The following is a 20,955-nucleotide window of genomic DNA, read 5'->3' as shown; positions in this document are numbered from 1 at the left end:
TATCAGCTGACTTAGAGCGTCCAGACTGCTGGAGTGATCTACAGATTTTGAACTTGCCACCCTTCACTAGATAAACAAAATCAGTCACTCTCTCTATATATATGTAAGTATACACACACACACACACACACATACATATATGACATATACACACACCTATACATATGTGTTTATATAAATACACATGTGTATTTTATATATATAGAGAGAGATTCTTATGCTGACCCACATAAGATATTTTGCATATCCACACATATGTATATGTATATATCCACACATATGTATTTTTGTATATGATTTACATAGCAAGCTAAATTATTATATCAGTCAGGGATCTCCAGATAAAGCAAACCAGTAGAAAAAACATATATATATATATGGTGTATATAAAACACCCATATATATGTTTTTTCTACAGGTTTAGACATAGATATGTGTATATATATGTATATGTATGTATATATATGTCTATATATGTGTATATGTGTATTTATATGTCTAAAAACATTTATGTACACACATATGTATGGGTGTGTGTGTATGTGTTATATATATGTATGTGTATATATATGCTTTTTTTATTATATATACTCCCTTTTAATATATATGCATATGTGTGTGTATTAGATTATAAAATGACTACTTCATCCACTCTACCTTACAGTGAAAAGTGCCTGACATATAATAGGAACCCAGTAACAATTACTTTTCTTCCTTATTTAATTTCATATATCATATTGTTCACAATCACTGTTTTGCATGTGAATACATTTTACATCATTATAAGATAGAAGCAATATGTAATATTAAAACAAATCAGTTTTTAAAATGAATACATTGCATTCTAAAATTTTAAAGTTCTTTTATGATGTTGATAGGTCCTGCAAATTACTTAAGTAAAAAATGTAATAAATACTAAGTGTAAAATTATGACAATTAACATTTCAATCTAATTTTTATATAGAGTTAACAGTAAAATTGAAGAAAACAGAATGACTAGACTTATTCACTGTTTAGGATTGGGGAGGCAAGGGGTCTTTGACTGACAAATCAGCATAATGCTGTTGCTACATCCATTTCTTTCCAAATAAATAAGTTGAAATGTTTCTATTAAAGAAATATGTCTCATTTTACTGGTCTCAGTAACTTCACCCTTAGTCTAGTGCAGTAATCAAGAGGGCAGACCCAGAAGCCTGAGTTTTAGAAAATCTTGTAGGACTTTGTGCAGATTGACTTGAATGTACCATTACTCCCCACCCCCAGCATCTCTCCATGTTAGGATCCTCATGTGAAAAATGAGGATAATAACATCCTTCCTCATTGAGTTGCTGAGTGTATTTCGTGGCTTAATACAGGAAGATTCTAAGAATAGCGTCTTGCACATAATATCTTTCAAAATATATTAGCATATTTTTGCTAAAATGATATAATGGAACATAATTACATGGGGCTTAGTTTTATCAAATATAAATATTTAAATAAGACATAATGAAGAAAGCAATGTAATTTTTTTCCTATCTCATGTATACACCTAGCTGTTTTATGATTTGACATCACAGGTCAAGAATATGTTATTTTCAGCATTCCTAATGGTTTATGGAAAGATGTAAATATATTTAATTCCAAAAGCTAGTAAAGATAAGATCCTGAAAGTCTGACTACAAATGGCAAAGGGAACACTGGTAGTTTGTCTGCTGAAAAACTCCCCAATGTCTTCTATAGCCTTTGCTTCACCACTATGCCACAGGGAAACTGGGATGAGGGAAGATACAGGGAGTAATTTTGAACTGTAGTGAGTTTTGATCAACTAAAATTATCAAGATAATTCCTTTTTCTCTTGTCAAAATAGTAACATCTAAGTTTCTTCCAGTAAGTGGATTTTGTTTTTATCCTACCTGTGTCAGAAAGAAAAATGGCCCCTACCCCAGATATCCACATCAAATTCATAAAACCTGTGAATGTGTCTTGTAAGATGAAAGGTGTGATTAGGTTAAAAGTCTGAGGAGAGAGCTATTTTGGGAGGCCGAAGTGGGCAGATCACTTCAGTCCAGGGATGTGAGATCAGCCTGAGAAATATGGTGAAACCCCATCTCTACAAAAATTACAGAAGTTAGCTGGACATGACAGCTGGCACCTGTAGACCCAACTACTCAGGAGGCTGAGGTGGGAGGATCACTTCACCCTGGGAGGTGGAGGTTGCAATGAGCCAAGATTGTGCCATTGCACTTCCGGCTGGGTGACAGAGCAAGATTCCATCTCATAAAAGAAATTAAAAAAAATGAAAAATAAATAAACTAAACAGAAAGAGCTAGATCCTGGAGTATCCTGGATTATCGAGGTAGATCCTAAATGGCATCACAAGTGTGTTTATAAGGTGAAGGGTGATTTCATGCAGACACACACAGAGAAGGCAATGTGAAGATGGTGTCAGAGATTGGAGCGATGAGGCTACAAGCCCAAGAATGCCAGGGCAACCACTAGAATCTAAAAGGAGCAAAAAATAAATAAAAAACAAACAAACAAAAAATCAGATTCTTCCCTGGATCCGCTAGAGAGGACCTGGGCATGCTGGATTTCATGGCCTCCAGAACTGTAAGACAATACATTTCTGTTGTTTTAATGACCAAATTTGTGGTAATTTGTTAGAGCACACTTAGGAAACTAATACAATACCTTATGACTTTAGAAGTTAAGAATGTTTAACAAGAAAGAAAAGGATCTCCATTCTGCTAGGCTCTTGATATGGTTTGGCTCTGTACCCCCACCCAAATCTTATGTCAAATTGTAATCGCCAGTGTTGGAGAAAGGGCCTGGTGGGAGGTGATTGGACCATGGGGGCCGACTTCCCTCTTGCTGCTCTTTTGTGAGTGAGTTCTGACAAGATATGGTTGTTTGAAAGTGTGCAGTGGCTGGGTGCAGTGGTGCATGTGTGTAATCCCAGCATTTTGGGAGGCTGAATTGGGTGAATTGCTTGAGCCCAGGAGTTCAAGACCAGCCTGGGCAACATGGCAAAACCTCTTCTCTACCAATACAAAAAATTAGCCAGGTACAGTGGCATGCACCTGTGGTCCCAGCTAGTCAGGAAGCTGAAGTGGGAGGATTGATCACTTGAGCACAAAAGTTTGAGGCTTCAATAGGCTGTGTTCGCACCACTGCACTCCAGCCTTGGTGACAGAGCGAGACCCTGTCTCAATAAACAAATAAATAAATAAATAAAAACAAGTGCGTAGCACCTCCCTCCTCGCCCTCTTTGTCTCCTGCTGGCCATGTGAAGACGTGTCCATTTCCTACTCACCTGCCACTATGATTGTCAGTTTCCTGAGGCCTTCCCAGAAGCAGAAGCCCATATCACCTGCAGAACCAGGAACCAATTAAACCTCTTTTCTTTATAAATTACCCAGTGTCTGTGGGCAAAGGATTACCCAGGTGCCGAGGCAAGAGACTGAAGGCATAAACTATTTCAGTATAACAAAGAAAATAGTTAGAATGAAGAATAGTTATAATACAAATTAGATATAGAGATGATCATGGACATTATCAATCATTAGTATAAACATTATTAATCATTAGCCTTTAATATTACTCTTTGTTGTATTACTCATATTACCAAGGAATAACCGGCGAGTATAGGGTGAGGAGCTAAAGGGACATTGTGAAGAGTGACCAAAAAGGCAAGAGGTGGGCCCTCTGTCATGCCCGCATAAGGGCCACTTGAGGGCTCCTTGGTCAAGCGGTAACGCCAGTGCCTGGGAAGGCACCTGTTACTTAACAGACAGGTTAAAAGGGAGCAAAAGGGAGTCTCCCTTGGAGTCAGAGAACACTTTGCTCCAGCAGCTTCTTGTGGGAGGCTGGATATTATCCAGGCCTGCCCGCAGTCATCCAGAGGCCTAAACCCCTCTCTGTGGTGCAGTGCTTCAATGGTCATGCTCCTTGTCCACTTTCATGTTCCTCCCATACTCCTGGTTCCTCTTGAAAGTTCTTAGAAGATAGGGGTAGAATAAATAGTAAAAGTCTTAAAGTCTTTGATCTTTCCGATAAGTGCATAGAAGAAAATGCTCACATATGTTGCCTTCCCTCTCTGCTTCAGCTACCTAAAAGGGAAGGGTCCCTTGTCCCATGATCACATGACTTTCTTGACCTTATCAATCACTTAGATGACTCAGCCTCCTTACCCTGCCCCCTTGTCTTGTATGTAATAAATATCAGCGCACCCAGCCATTCGGGGCCACTACCAGTCTCCGCATCTTGGTGGTAGTGGTCCCCCGGGCCCAGCTGTTTTCTCTTTATCTCTTTGTCTTGTGTCTTTATTTCTTACCATCTCTCGTCTCCGCACATGGGGAGAACACCTGCTAAGCCCCATAGGGCTGGACCCTTCAAGTCTCAAGTACGTCTTTATAGAAGTGTGAGAATGGACCAATAAAGCTCTATAATTGAGGCAAATATCTTGATCAAGCGTGGGTATCAAGATTATAATCTAAATTAAAGCATTCCATCTATCTCCAAACATCATGGCATATAACAAAATATTCTGAACACTATGATGCTTTATTAATAGCTTAATAATTCAGAGGTGCTGACACTTTTCATTCCACCCATAAAAAGAAGAAGTAAACAAGTGAAGGTGCAGTACTTTCTCTTGGTATAGAAGGCTGCTTCTACAGAATTCTTTCAGCCCATAAACAGTGGTCAAGATAAAGCACACACACTCAGGCTAAAGACACTTGTCTGCCAATGAGTAAAAATAAATGAGTCTGAGTATTGCTCTGAGTATAAAGCAAATCGAACCTTAAGCCTCCTACCACCACAGGGTCAAGAGAGGGCCTGTGCACTGAGGCAAATAACTTTCTGGGCAAGTAACAGTCGTCATCATCCCCACTGGTAGAGGAGCAATAGTGAAGAGTGCTTGAGCTTTTTTACAGTTCCTCCTCCACATTTCTGATGCTGCCGTCTCTGTTAATTCTCCTGTTGTATTTGCTAATCATTTCATTAGAATTTTTCAAAGACATTATCATTATTCTTTTTCATGGATGACAAATGGTTTTTCAGGGACAGTTTATTTGTTCAATAGGAAAGAAACAAATTTCATCAGATGAAAAAGGCAAAAAAAGCCACAAACTCATAGATCTTCTAATCTCCCCCTCTATTTTTATTTGTTGATGGGCAAAAAGAAAGAAAATATATCTCTGTCAGGTAAACTTTCCATCATAATTAAGCCCTTAAACTGCCTTCTCACCGTGAATAGACGCTGACACTTGAGACAGCAAGCAGTACCCACAATCCTCCCTGACTCAATGGCTTACTGGATGACTTCCAGTGGATTCAAAATAGGATTTGAGGTATTCCCTCCAGGTTACCACCCGTTTATGTTATTTGTACTGAGGATCTCCAATTCTGATTTGATAATTTATTTAGAAAAATACAATATATTTTTATTTTCAGCCCTTGCCAATAGCTCCATCTCTAAGGAGTCTCAAGAATTCTAAAGGCAAGCAGATGGTCATACACTCATGCCTCACTGCTATTTCCACTCTTCTTTTTACCCCTGGGTCCCTAAATTCCCATTGAAAATCTACTAAACCTTTACTTATATCTTGTTTTTTTAATGCATCTTTACAAAAATTCAGGTAAGTATTTTTTCTAATAAATATATTTAATGTATAACTTTCTAGGAAAATGAAATTTTTACTACAGAGAAAATATATATTTGCATGACATATTAGGCCTTAATTCAGCCATATTTCTCATTGCATTCTTCATGTATACTTCGAATTACAGCTATATTTTTCTCCAACAACATGATATGCTGAACTTCAGGTGTGAAAATTAATTAGTTGATGTAACAGATATTTATTGAGTGTCTACTATTCTCTAGCCTCTGTTCTGGCCCCTTAGTATATGCGATTGAAACAAAAGGGTAAAGATACCTACTCTAATAGAATTTACCTGTTAGAGAGGAGAGACAGAAAATTTTATATACATGTAATTTTGAAGTGCTGTTGAAAGTACTATAGAAATAAAATCAACAAGATGAAAGATAAAAGGATACAGGCATTGGTACAGATCAGACTATGGGAGTGAAAGAATGCAATTTTATATGTATTTGTTAAGATAGACCTCAATGAGATGGAATTTGATTGAAGGGGCAAGGGATTAAGTCTGTGGATGTTTGTGTCTATATTTTAATTTTAACTTGTTTGTGCCTTTATATTTAAAGAGGGCTTCTTACATATAGTTTAATACTGCTCTCTTACCCAATCTGATAATCTCTGCCTTTTAATTGGGGTATTTAGAAAATATGGTTTAACAGTACTTTCTGGGTTGATGGAAATGTTCTATTCTGCACTGTTACTACATGATAGCCACTGGCCACAGGTCACTATTGAAAACTTCAAATGTCGCTAATATTGATGAAGACTTGAATTTTTAATGATTTTAAAATTTCAATTATTTTAAATTGAAATAGCGACATAAGGCTAATGGCTACCATGTTGGACAAAACAGGAGGCCTTTGAAGTTTTATGCAATTATGAATATGTTTTCATTTTCATCTACCATTTCACTATTTGTTTTCTATTTACCTCTACTGTTCTTTGTTAAATTTTCTATTTTAAATTTTTAAAAGCACACCATTATACATATTTTTTGTGAGAGAGTCTCTCTGTCACCCAGGTTGGAGTGCAGTGGCACAATCATGGCTCACTGCAATCTTCACCTTCCGGGTTCAAGCAATTCTCATGCCTCAGCCTCCCAAGTAAGCTGGGATTACAGGTGCACACCACCATACCCAGCTAATTTTTGTATTTTTAGTAAAGACAGGGTTTCGCCATGTTGGCCAGGCTGGTCTTGAGCTCCTGACCTCAAGTGATCTGCCTGCTTCGGCCTGCATTGTGCTAACATTATAAGTGTGAGCCAACATGTCTGGCCCCATTATAAATTTTTTATTATTATTATACTTTAAGTTCTAGGGTACATGTGCACAACATGCAGGTTTGTTACATATGTACACATGTGCCATGCTGGTGTGCTGCACCCATTAACTCATCATTTACATTAGGTATATCTCCTAATGCTATCCCTCTCCCCTCCCCCCAACCCACGACAGGCCCCAGTGTGTTACGTTCCCCTTCCTGTGTCCAAGTGTTCTCATTGTTCAATTCCCACCTATGAGTGAGAACATGCGGTGTTTTGTTTTTTGTCCTTGCAATAGTTTGCTGAGAATGATGGTTTCCAGCTTCATCCATGTCACTACAAAGGACATGAACTCATTTTTTATGGCTGCATAGTATTCCATGGTGTATATGTGCCACATTTTCTTTTTTTTTTTTTTTTTGCGGTCTTAGTGGCTCTATTTATTTTTCTTAAAAATATAATAAATCATTATTATAAGTAGTAATAGAACTCCAGGTGGCTGGATCAATAAGCTCATAAATATGAAACAATTCAAGTTTTAGTGAAAAATTTCTTAGTAGGAATATATAGTTACAATAATTATTGAAGGTTGGCAATGACACTTTTCTCTTTTTTTTATATATTCTTTAAAAAATATATTATCTTTTAGATGTGTAAAGTTAACCATATTCACACAAAGAGACTCTAGGATAATGCACAGCTGTCAATACAATAGGCAGCATAGTCTGTAGTATAAATAATTCCGATTTTACAGGACTTTACCATCACAGTGTGGTTACAATGGTTTTTCAGTTCTTCAAAATGTATACTTTTTCTTTTTTTTTTTTTTTAACTTTTGCTTTTCTTTTTTTTTTTTTTATTATACTTTAAGTTTTAGGGTACATGTGCACATTGTGCAGGTTAGTTACATATGTATACATGTGCCGTGCTGGTGCGCTGCACCCACTAACTCGTCATCTAGCATTAGGTATATCTCCCAATGCTATCCCTCCCCCCTCCCCCCACCCCACAACAGTCCCCAGAGTGTGATATTCCCCTTCCTGTGTCCATGTGATCTCATTGTTCAATTCCCACCTATGAGTGAGAATATGCGGTGTTTGGTTTTTTGTTCTTGCGATAGTTTACTGAGAATGATGATTTCCAATTTCATCCATGTCACTACAAAGGACATGAACTCATCATTTTTTATGGCTGCATAGTATTCCATGGTGTATATGTACCACATTTTCTTAATCCAGTCTATCATTGTTGGACATTTGGGTTGGTTCCAAGTCTTTGCTATTGTGAATAATGCCGCAATAAACATACGTGTGCATGTGTCTTTATAGCAGCATGATTTATAGTCATTTGGGTATATACCCAGTAATGGGATGGTTGGTCAAATGGTATTTCTAGTTCTAGATCCCTGAGGAATCGCCACACTGACTTCCACAATGGTTGAACTAGTTTACAGTCCCACCAACAGTGTAAAAGTGTTCCTGTTTCTCCACATCCTCTCCAGCACCTGTTGTTTCCTGACTTTTTAATGATTGCCATTCTAACTGGTGTGAGATGGTATCTCATAGTGGTTTTGATTTGCATTTCTCTGATGGCCAGTGATGATGAGCATTTTTTCATGTGTTTTTTGGCTGCATAAATGTCTTCTTTTGAGAAGTGTCTGTTCATGTCCTTTGCCCACTTTTTGATAGGGTTGTTTGTTTTTTTCTTGTAAATTTGTTTGAGTTCATTGTAGATTCTGGATATTAGCCCTTTGTCAGATGAGTAGGTTGTGAAAATTTTCTCCCATTTTGTAGGTTGCCTGTTCACTCTAATGGTAGTTTCTTTTGCTGTGCAGAAGCTCTTTATTTTAATTAGATCCCATTTGTCAATTTTTTCTTTTGTTGCCATTGCTTTTGGTGTTTTGGACATGAAGTCCTTGCCCATGCCTATGTCCTGAATGGTAATGCCTAGGTTTTCTTCTAGGGTTTTTATGGTTTTAGGTCTAACATTTAAATCTTTAATCCATCTTGAATTGATTTTTGTATAAGGTGTAAGGAAGGGATCCAGTTTCAGCTTTCTACATATGGCTAGCCAGTTTTCCCAGCACCATTTATTAAATAGGGAATCCTTTCCCCATTGCTTGTTTTTCTCAGGTTTGTCAAAGATCAGATAGTTGTAGGTATGCAGCATTATTTCTGAGGGCTCTGTTCTGTTCCATTGATCTATATCTCTGTTTTGGTACCAGTACCATGCTGTTTTGGTTACTGTAGCCTTGTAGTATAGTTTGAAGTCAGGTAGTGTGATGCCTCCAGCTTTGTTCTTTTGGCTTAGGATTGACTTGGCGATGCGGGCTCTTTTTTGGTTCCATATGAACTTTAAAGTAGTTTTTTCCAATTCTGTGAAGAAAGTCATTGGTAGCTTGATGGGGATGGCATTGAATCTGTAAATTACCTTGGGCAGTATGGCCATTTTCACAATATTGATTCTTCCTACCCATGAGCATGGAATGTTCTTCCATTTGTTTGTATCCTCTTTTATTTCTTTGAGCAGTGGTTTGTAGTTCTCCTTGAAGAGGTCCTTCACATCCCTTGTAAGTTGGATTCCTAGGTATTTTATTTTCTTTGAAGCAATTGTGAATGGGAGTTCACTCATGATTTGGCTCTCTGTTTGTCTGTTGTTGGTGTATAAGAATGCTTGTGATTTTTGTACATTGATTTTGTATCCTGAGACTTTGCTGAAGTTGCTTATCAGCTTAAGGAGATTTTGGGCTGAGACAATGGGGTTTTCTAGATATACAATCATGTCGTCTGCAAACAGGGACAATTTGACTTCCTCTTTTCCTAACTGAATACCCTTTATTTCCTTCTCCTGCCTAATTGCCCTGGCCAGAACTTCCAACACTATGTTGAATAGGAGTGGTGAGAGAGGGCATCCTTGTCTTGTGCCAGTTTTCAAAGGGAATGCTTCCAGTTTTTGGCCATTCAGTATGATATTGGCTGTGGGTTTGTCATAGATAGCTCTTATCATTTTGAAATACGTCCCATCAATACCTAATTTATTGAGAGTTTTTAGCATGAAGGGTTGTTGAATTTTGTCAAAGGCTTTTTCTGCATGTATTGAGATAATCATGTGGTTTTTGTCTTTGGCTCTGTTTATATGCTGGATTACATTTATTGATTTGCGTATATTGAACCAGCCTTGCATCCCAGGGATGAAGCCCACTTGATCATGGTGGATAAGCTTTTTGATGTGCTGCTGGATTCGGTTTGCCAGTATTTTATTGAGGATTTTTGCATCAATATTCATCAAGGATATTGGTCTAAAATTCTCTTTTTTGGTTGTGTCTCTGCCCGGCTTTGGTATCAGAATGATGCTGGCCTCATAAAATGAGTTAGGGAGGATTCCCTCTTTTTCTATTGATTGGAATAGTTTCAGAAGGAATGGTACCAGTTCCTCCTTGTACCTCTGGTAGAATTCGGCTGTGAATCCATCTGGTCCTGGACTCTTTTTGGTTGGCAAACTATTGATTATTGCCACAATTTTAGCTCCTGTTATTGGTCTATTCAGAGGTGCAACTTCTTCCTGGTTTAGTCTTGGGAGAGTGTATGTGTCAAGGAATTTATCCATTTCTTCTAGATTTTCCAGTTTATTTGCGTAGAGGTGTTTGTAGTATTCTCTGATGGTAGTTTGTATTTCTGTGGGATCGGTGGTGATATCCCCTTTATCATTTTTTATTGTGTCTATTTGATTCTTCTGTCTTTTTTTCTTTATTAGTCTTGCTAGCAGTCTATCAATTTTGTTGATCCTTTCAAAAAACCAGCTCCTGGATTCATTGATATTTTGAATGGTTTTTTGTGTCTCTATTTCCTTCAGTTCTGCTCTGATTTTAGTTATTTCTTGCCTTCTGCTAGCTTTTGAATGTGTTTGCTCTTGCTTTTCTAGTTCTTTTAATTGTGATGTTAGGGTGTCAATTTTGGATCTTTCCTGCTTTCTCTTGTGGGCATTTAGTGCTATATATTTCCCTCTACACACTGCTTTGAATGCGTCCCAGAGATTCTGGTATGTCGTGTCTTTGTTCTCGTTGGTTTCAAAGAACATCTTTATTTCTGCCTTCATTTCGTTATGTACCCAGTAGTCATTCAGGAGCAGGTTGTTCAGTTTCCATGTAGTTGAGCGGCTTTGAATGAGATTCTTAATCCTGAGTTCTAGTTTGATTGCACTGTGGTCTGAGAGATAGTTTGTTATAATTTCTGTTCTTTTACATTTGCTGAGGAGAGCTTTACTTCCCAGTGTGTGGTCAATTTTGGAATAGGTGTGGTGTGGTGCTGAAAAAAATGTATATTCTGTTGATTTGGGGTGGAGAGTTCTGTAGATGTCTATTAGGTCCGCTTGGTGCAGAGCTGAGTTCAATTCCTGGGTATCCTTGTTGACTTTCTGTCTCGTTGATCTGTCTAATGTTGACAGTGGGGTGTTAAAGTCTCCCATTATTAATGTGGGAGTCTAAGTCTCTTTGTAGGTCACACAGGACTTGCTTTATGAATCTGGGTGCTCCTGTATTGGGTGCATATATATTTAGGATAGTTAGCTCTTCTTGTTGAATTTATCCCTTTACCATTATGTAATGGCCTTCTTTGTCTCTTTTGATCTTTGTTGGTTTAAAGTCTGTTTTATCAGAGACTAGGATTGCAACCCCTGCCTTTTTTTGTTTTCCATTTGCTTGGTAGATCTTCCTCCATCCTTTTATTTTGAGCCTATGTGTGTCTCTGCATGTGAGATGGGTTTCCTGAATACAGCACACTGATGGGTCTTGACTCTTTATCCAATTTGCCAGTCTGTGTCTTTTAATTGGAGCATTTAGTCCATTTACACTTAAAGTTAATATTGTTATGTGTGAATTTGATCCTGTCATTATGATGTTAGCTGGTGATTTTGCTCGTTAGTTGACGCAGTTTCTTCCTAGTCTCGATGGTCTTTACATTTTGGCATGATTTTGCAGCAGCTGGTACCGGTTGTTCCTTTCCATGTTTAGCGCTTCCTTCAGGAGCTCTTTTAGGGCAGGCCTGGTGGTGACAAAATCGGTCAGCATTTGCTTGTCTGTAAAGTATTTTATTTCTCCTTCACTTATGAAGCTTAGTTTGGCTGGATATGAAATTCTGGGTTGAAAATTCTTTTCTTTAAGAATGTTGAATATTGGCCCCCACTCTCTTCTGGCTTGTAGGGTTTCTGCTGAGAGATCCGCTGTTAGTCTGATGGGCTTCCCTTTGAGGGTAACCCGACCTTTCTCTCTGGCTGCCCTTAACATTTTTTCCTTCATTTCAACTTTGGTGAATCTGACAATTATGTGTCTTGGAGTTGCTCTTCTTGAGGAGTATCTTTGTGGCGTTCTCTGTATTTCCTGAATCTGAACGTTGGCCTGCCTTGCTAGATTGGGGAAGTTCTCCTGGATAATATCCTGCAGAGTGTTTTCCAACTTGGTTCCATTCTCCCCATCACTTTCAGGTACACCAATCAGACGTAGATTTGGTCTTTTCACATAGTCCCATATTTCTTGGAGGCTTTGCTCATTTCTTTTTATTCTTTTTTCTCTAAACTTCCCTTCTCGCTTCATTTCATTCATTTCATCTTCCATTGCTGATACCCTTTCTTCCAGTTGATCGCATCGGCTCCTGAGGCTTCTGCATTCTTCACGTAGTTCTCGAGCCTTGGTTTTCAGCTCCATCAGCTCCTTTAAGCACTTCTGTGTATTGGTTATTCTAGTTATACATTCTTCTAAATTTTTTTCAAAGTTTTCAACTTCTTTGCCTTTGGTTTGAATGTCCTCTCGTAGCTCAGAGTAATTTGATCATCTGAAGCCTTCTTCTCTCAGCTCGTCAAAGTCGTTCTCTGTCCAGCTTTGTTCCGTTGCTGGTGAGGAACTGCGTTCCTTTGGAGGAGGAGAGGCACTCTGCGTTTTAGAGTTTCCAGTTTTTCTGTTCTGTTTTTTCCCCATCTTTGTGGTTTTATCTACTTTTGGTCTTTGATGATGGTGATGTACAGATGGGTTTTCGGTGTGGATGTCCTTTCTGTTTGTTAGTTTTCCTTCTAACAGACAGGACCCTCAGCTGCAGGTCTGTTGGAATACCCTGCCTTGTGAGGTGTCAGTGTGCCCCTGCTGCGGGGTGCCTCCCAGTTAGGCTGCTCGGGGGTCAGGAGTCAGGGACTCACTTGAGGAGGCAGTCTGCCGGTTCTCAGATCTCCAGCTGCGCGCTGGGAGAACCACTGCTCTCTTCAAAGCTGTCAGACAGGGACATTTAAGTCTGCAGAGGTTACTGCTGTCTTTTTGTTTGTCTGTGCCCTGCCCCCAGAGATGGAGCCTACAGTGTCAGGCAGGCCTCCTTGAACTGTGGTGGGCTCCACCCAGATCGAGCTTCCCTGCTGCTTTGTTTACCTAAGCAAGCCTGGGCAATGGCGGGCGCCCCTCCCCCAGCCTAGCTGCCGCCTTGCAGTTTGATCTCAGACTGCTGTGCTAGCAATCAGCGAGATTCCGTGGGCGTAGGACCCTCCGAGCCAGGTGTGGGATATAGTCTCGTGGTGCGCCGTTTTTAAGCCCGTTTGAAAAACGCAATATTCGGGTGGGAGTGACCCGATTTTCCAGGTGTGTCCCTCACCCCTTTCTTTGACTCAGAAAGGGAACTCCCTGACCCCTTGCGCTTCCCAGGTGAGGCAATGCCTCGCCCTGCTTCGGCTCGCGCACGGTGCGTGCACCCACTGGCCTGCGCCCACTGTCTGGCACTCCCTAGTGAGATGAACCCGGTACCTCAGATGGAAATGCAGAAATCACCCGTCTTCTGCGTAGCTCACGCTGGGAGCTGTAGACCGGAGCTGTTCCTATTCGGCCATCTTGTGACCAAAATCCACATTTTCTTAATCCAGTCTATCATTGATGGACATTTGGGTTGGTTCCAAGTCTTTGCTATTGTGAATAGTGCCACAGTAAACATACATTTGCATGTGTCTTTATAGCAGCATGATTTATAATCCTTTGGATATATACCCAGTAATGGGATGGCTGGGTCAAATGGTATTTCTAGTTCTAGATCCTTGAGGAATCGCCACACTGTCCTCCACAATGGTTGAACTAGTTTACAGTCCCACCAACAATGTAAAAGCGTTCCTATTTCTCCACATCCTCTCCAGCACTTGTTGTTTCCTGACTTTTTAATGACCACCATTCTAACTGGTGTGAGATGGTATCTCACTGTGGTTTTGATTTGCATTTCTCTGATGGCCAGTGATGATGAGCATGTTTTCATGTGTCTGTTGGCAGCATCAATGTCTTCTTTTGAGAAGTGTCTGTTCATATTCTTTGCCCACTTTTTGATGGGGTTGTTTGTTTTTTTCTTGTAAATTTGTTTGAGTTCTTTGTAGATTCTGGATATTAGCCCTTTGTCAGATTAGCAGATTGCAAAAATTTCTCCCATTCTATAGGTTGCCTGTTCACTCTAATGGTAGTTTCTTTTGCTGTGCAGAAGCTCTTTAGTTTAATTAGATCCCATTTGTCAATTTTGGCTTTTGTTGCCATTGCTTTTGGTGTTTTAGACACATAAAGTCCTTGCCCATGCCTATGTCCTGAATGGTATTGCCTAGGTTTTCTTCTAGGGTTTTTATGGTTTTAGGTCTAACATTTAAGTCTTTAACCCATCTTGAATTAATTTCTGTATAAGGTGTAAGGAAGGGATCCAGTTTCAGCTTTCTACATATGCCTAGCCAGTTTTCCCAGCACCACTTATTAAATAGGGAATCCTTTCCCCATTTCTTGTTTTTGTCAGGTTTATCAAAGATCAGATGGTTGTAGATGTGTGGTATTATTTCTGAGGGCTCTGTTCTGTTCCATTGATCTATATCTCTGTTTTGGTACAAGTACCATGCTGTTTTGGTTACTATAGCCTCGTAGTATAGTTTGAAGTCAGGTAGCATGATGCCTCCAGCTTTGTTCTTTTGGCTTAGGATTGACTTGGCAATGAGGGCCCTTTTCTGATTCCATATGAACTTTAAAGTAGTTTTTTCCAATTCTGTGAAGAAAGTCATTGGTAGCTTGATGGGGATGGCATTGAATCTATAAATTACCTTGGGCTGTATGACCATTTTCACGATATTGATTCTTCCTATCTATGAGCATGGAATGTTCTTCCATTTGTTTGTGTCCTCATTTATTTCCTTGAGCAGTGGTTTGTAGTTCTCCTTGAAGAGGTCCTTCACATCCCTTGTAAGTTGGATTCCTAGGTATTTTATTTTCTTTGAAGCAATTGTGAATGGGAGTTCACTCATGATTTGGCTTTCTGTCTGTTATTGATGTATAAGACTGCTTGTCATTTTTGCACATTGATTTTGTATCCTGAGACTTTGCTGAAGTTGCTTATCAGCTTAAGGAGATTTTGGGCTGAGACGATGGGGTTTTCTAAATATACAATCATGTCATCTGCAAACAGGGACAATTTGACTTCCTCTTTTCCTAATTGAATACCCTTTATTTGTTTCTCTTGCCTGATTGCCCTGGCCAGAACTTCCAACACTATGTTGAATAGGAGTGGTGAGAGAGGGCATCCCTGTCTTGTGCCAGTTTTCAAAGGGAATGCTTCCAGTTTTTGCCCATTCCGTATGATATTGGCTGTGGTTTTGTCATAGATAGCTCTTATTATTTTGAGATACATCCCATCAATACCTAATTTATTGAGAGTTTTTAGCATGAAGGGTTGTTGAATTTTGTCAAAGGCCTATTCTGCATCTATTGAGTGATGCTGGCCTCATAAAATGAGTTAGGAAGGATTCCCTCTTTTTCTATTGATTGGAATAGTTTCAGAAGGAATGGTACCAGCTCCTGTTTGTACTTCTGGTAGAATTCTGCTGTGAATCCGTCTGGTCCTGGACTTTTTTTGGTTGGTAGGCTATTAATTATTGCCTCAATTTCAGAGCCTGTTATTGGTCTATTCGGGGATTCAACTTCTTCCTGGTTTAGTCTTGGGAGGGTGTGTGTCTGCATGAATTTATCCATTTCTTCTAGATTTTTCTAGTTTATTTGCCTAGAGGTGTTTATAGTATTCTCCGATGGTAGTTTGTATTTCTGTGGGATCGGTGGTGATATCCCCTTTATCATTTTTTATTGCGTCTATTTGATTCTTCTCTCTTTTCTTCTTTATTAGTTTTGCTAGCGGTCTATCAATTTTGTTGATCTTTTCAAAAAACCAGCTCCCAGATTCATTGATTTTTTTGAATGGCTTTTTGTGTCTCTATCTCCTTCAGTTCTGCTCTGATCTTAGTTATTTCTTGCCTTCTGCTAGCTTTTGAATGTGTTTGCTCTTGCTTCTCTAGTTCTTTTAATTGTGATGTTAGGGTGTCAATTTTAGATCTGTCCTGCTTTCTCTTGTTGGCATTTAGTGTTATAATTTTCCCTCTATACACTGCTTTGAATGTGTCCCAGAGATTCTGGTATGTTGTGTCTTTGTTCTTATGGGTTTCAAAGAACATCTTTATTTCTGCCTTCATTTCGTTATGTACCCAGTAATTCATTCAGGAGCAGATTGTGCAGTTTCCATGTAGTTGAGTGGTTTCGAGTGAGTTACTTAATCCGGAGTTCTAGTTTGATTGCCCTGTGGTCTGAGAGACAGTTTGTTACAATTTATGTTCTTTTACATTTGCTGAGGAGTGTTCTTCTCAGCACCACATCGCACTTATTCCAAAATTGACCACATAGTTGGAAGTAAAGCACTCCTCAGCCCATTATAAATTTTTAATTCCACTAGTGCTACAAAATCACAAAATCTAGGAAAATAAGCTTTAAATAATATGCCTAACATGATTCTACAGTACTCTTTTTCTAATGTTGTATTCCTGAATACTCTTCAATCTCATTTTCAGTTCGTTTATTTTTAATATTATGATCTGTAGAAGAAAAGTAACTTAGTATTTCCTTTAGCACGGTTGATTGAAATTTGTTTTTATTCTAAATAGTTGGGATAGGCGAAGTGTGTGACTTACTGACGTCCTTCCAGTTTTTAGGAATGGAGCAGGTTTGCACTGCATGTATACAAAATTCTAATCATTGTAATGAGATTCCATCAAAAAAAAAGAAAGTAAATATGTATACACACACACATACACACACACACACGCATATATGGTGTTATAATGGCATTATATAATAATGCACCATTATTATTGAACATTGACCCGACAGAATAGAGGGGTTTTTTGTTTTTAGAGACTAGGCTTTGTTGTGTTGCTCAGGCTGGGGTGCAGTAGTGGCAGGTTGTCTTACTGCAGCCTCAACCTCCTGGGCTCAATCTTCCTGCCTCAGCCTCCTGAGTAGCTGGGACTACATGCCCAGCTGGTGGCTCATGCCACCATGCCTGAGTAATTAAAAAAATGTAGAGATGGAGTCTTGCTATATTATCTAGGCTGAGAATGGAGCTTTTTTAAATCACTAGCCTTTGACAAAGTTCCAAATTCTTGCAGTTTTATAGTTAGAAGAATTCTCCACATGTTAATGCTGGTTTTATACATTTTAAACACTGTTTTCCTTTTATACTGACATATTTCCACTTGCAACCCCAGTGCAAAAGAACCCATTTATGTCACCCTCCAACCTATACCCCTTAGTTACACAATGCAATGCTAAGTGAGTTGGTGCAATGTGTGGTAATAGTAGTAATACCTTGGTTCTCAAAAATGCAGTAGGTTCCCTTATGGGGTGAGAGGATACTGTCAATGAAGTTAGAGTGAAAAGACACTGCAGTTTTACCCAATATTGTATAATTATTGTACTTTTATTATAGATTTTTATATAACCATACAATCACTTTAACACATTACTAGTGTCCCTCTCATAGGACTGAAGGGACATGTACAAGTGAGGGGCTCTGAATTTTAAACTTCATTAACTTCTGCTTTTAAGAATGGGCCAGAGTTTTTTCTTATGTTTTAGTTTGGATTTTTAGAACCATGGCCAGAAATGAGTATCCTTGTGCAAGATATTTTTTAAGTGCTGTCTGGACACAAGGAGTAGAAGTAGTAGGATAGAAAAGATGCATATATCTAAGCAAGAATGAGGTCTTACTTGCCTGAATCCACCCATGGGCAGCTCTAGTGCATGTGCATGAAGTACACCCAGAATTTGTCCATTTTTCTATCCTTTATGCATTCATTGACAGTCATCTGACCCAGTGACAGTGAGTTGTTGGCTGCATTCTCTGAGAAAGGTGGATAACTGATGTGTGAAGCAGGTTCTCTTTCTGGTTATCCCTTTTGATTTCACTCTGTAAAAAAGTCACTATGAACAACCAACAATTAAGAGTGTAGAGTTATTTGTTCACTTATTTTGGGCAGAGTATATGAATATATTATTTGGAATGTTTCTGATTTCTGCAATAGAGAGTTGTCCATTCTTCCTTATTTATTTATTTAAAATATGTATTCATATTACTACTAACTCATGGATATTTATTTATATGACTTGAGGTATTATTGAATTTTATTTATTTTCATGCTTGAATTGTTCCAATTTTGGACACTGGGGGCTCTGTCAGTTGGTTTCTGTGTCCTGTTGATATAACTTTATCCATTTTATCTTGAGTAAGTCTTACTTTATGTCACTATAAAATGCTCATCTTGTACAGTCTTGCCCCATCCTAGATTAAGCCATTTCTCCAAGAATCCCTTTTTCCAAAGCTATAGCTATAGCTTTGAAATGAGAGAAGTTTTGAATGATCTGTGTGGTAGAGGGTTAGAATTGGAAGCAATTAAACTCATTCTGAGCTTAATATAGATACAGATAAGTACATATAGAAATATTTATACATGCATGTATATACAAGGGTTATATACATATATATTGTAGCTCTGTCATCTGAGAGGGCCTAACAGCAATAAGCATACCTATTGCACAATTATTGCAATGTACCATATAGGTATTATATATAACTAAATAATCATTATATATTATACCATAATATATATAGCACCATAAGTAGTGTTACTGGGAATTAATTATATGTGTATATATGTTGTGGGTATATATGTATACACACATAATTAATTCCAAATAATATGATGTGGCTTCTCCATTGCCTTTAAGGACCTCTTCGCTCTCATAAACATGCCTGATCTGTTTTCAAAGTTACACTATCCCCAAACTATCAGTTTAAATATTTTTTTCCTGAACATTACACACACTAAGAGACTCCAGTGATAAATGATGGAAATTTCTACCTACCCACATCCATCACCATTAATGTTTGGACTGCTATTACAGCTAAGATCAAGTGTGCCAATGGTTTATATGCCATGGCATTTAGCATATCTTGACTCAATTCTGTTTTTCAAGTATAGGCAGACACTGTATCAAAAGAGTAGGATAATTTTTTAATAAAATAAATTTTTAAAAACAATTTCTGGTAGAAAAAAATATTCTCCAGCTCCTCAATTGCACTGTGTTACCTTTGTTTCTACTTGTGTCTGGTACACTAGTATGTAAGAGCATAAATTTATTAATCTTTTAATAAATTTATATTTATGTCCTTACTGTCAGCATGAACCATTACTAGGAAGTGTGTGTGTGTGTGTGTGTGTGTGTGTGTGTGTGTGTGTGTAGGAAGAAAAAACTGGGGTGCAATGAATGCCATCATCCCTATTCCTGCATCATTTTCTGCTTTTCTGCAGATGGCTTTCTTTTCCTTTATGCTAGGGTATTTGGGAATGTGTTAATTTTGCATCATTCTGAACATTTTCAGGTCGTAATACCAGCATTTTTAATATTACCGCTGGAAGGCTTAGAAGTGTGTCTTTGCAATGACAAAATACATTGAGAAGCAATTTACATCCTAAATAATTGTGGCTGAATGAAAATGGAGATTGACAAAAAGGTATATCGGATTTTTTTCTTTAATTGAGTAAATTTCCAGTGATTTATTTTGTGCTATTTTTTGATAAGAAGAATGTTTTCCTTGCCAAGCAAATTTGACAGTGTAAAAGATCCAATTTATTGAAAGAAGTTCATGTAATAGCTGCATAGAGAGTGTTGGTCTCCACCCATTTCAGCGCTTTTCTATGACCAGTTCTCCCTCGTGCTCTTCTCTTCTCTATGTTCACATAAACAACACTGCTTGGTACGTAGAGTGCATATAAATGTTGTATATTAAACTAAGGCTGATGAATAGAAGTTCTGGACACATCAACTATACATACTATTTTAAGCTGTCTCAAAATTTTTCTAACTTATACTAAATAATTTAATGTCAGAATTAATTATCACATAGAAGTAGCTCCCTGCTCTAAGCTAGCAGTTAAAAATAGTGCTTTATTTATTTATTTATTTTTGCAAAGAGATTCAAGGAATTGCTAATACTAATATTGGGGTATTTTTTACTTTAATATCTAGGGCAAGCAATCATCTATTTTAAACAACAATTACAAAAATCTATCAGTAGTTCGTATTTTCATTAAAGTATCTTTTACTGGATTTTTTTTATTATACTTTAAGTTTTAGGGTACATGTGCACAACTTGCAGGTTAGTTACATATGTATACATGCGCCATGTTGGTGTCCTGCACCCATTAACTGGTCATTTAACATTAGGTATATCTCCTAATGCTATCCCTCCCCCCTCCCCCCACCCCACAACCATTTTTAAATGTTGCTGATAGTAATAACTGGGATTGTATTAAACTTACTGTGACATAACTGTTCAGAACATCAAGTTTACTCAAAGATTTTTGGGAGAAACACTGAACATTAAAACAAAGTAGGACATAGAGAGTACATGTGCATAAATGTTAAGAATGAATTATGAAGATCTAAGTATGTTTTGACTTTGCACTCTAAGCAGGTGAGGTAGACCATATTGTGCTGTGCTAGCTTTCCATTCCCCCTCCTTACTGCTGAGGGTGCATTCCTGGAACATGTTTGAGGAGCTCTATAGAGGAATGGCCAATTTAAGAAAGCATATTGCAAGCAATATAACCAGCAAAATGGACCACTTATTGAATACAGGCCTAGGCAGCGTGGTTGGTTTATATACAAGTATTGAGTTTAAA

The 20,955-nt window shown here is 38.1% G+C and overlaps 2 long non-coding RNA genes across 2 annotated transcripts in view; both read left to right on the top strand.

The window, feature by feature from the left end:
• Nucleotides 1–20,955, top strand: part of LINC00375 (long intergenic non-protein coding RNA 375) — an 82,971-nt gene that overhangs the window by 11,082 nt on the left and 50,934 nt on the right. The gene's annotated exons all lie outside the window — the stretch shown is intronic.
• Nucleotides 1–20,955, top strand: part of LOC105370291 (uncharacterized) — a 93,686-nt gene that overhangs the window by 68,506 nt on the left and 4,225 nt on the right. Inside the window, exon 3 of the long non-coding RNA XR_002957485.2 lies at nt 19,653–19,784. This is a non-coding gene — a long non-coding RNA (uncharacterized LOC105370291). The remainder of the gene's footprint in view (nt 1–19,652; nt 19,785–20,955) is intronic.

This window comes from Homo sapiens, chromosome 13, assembly GCF_000001405.40.
Source record: "Homo sapiens chromosome 13, GRCh38.p14 Primary Assembly".
Classification (NCBI taxonomy): Eukaryota; Metazoa; Chordata; class Mammalia; order Primates; family Hominidae; genus Homo; species Homo sapiens.
Note: the sequence above shows the minus strand (reverse complement) of the source record. Positions and strands in the feature narration are given on the sequence as shown.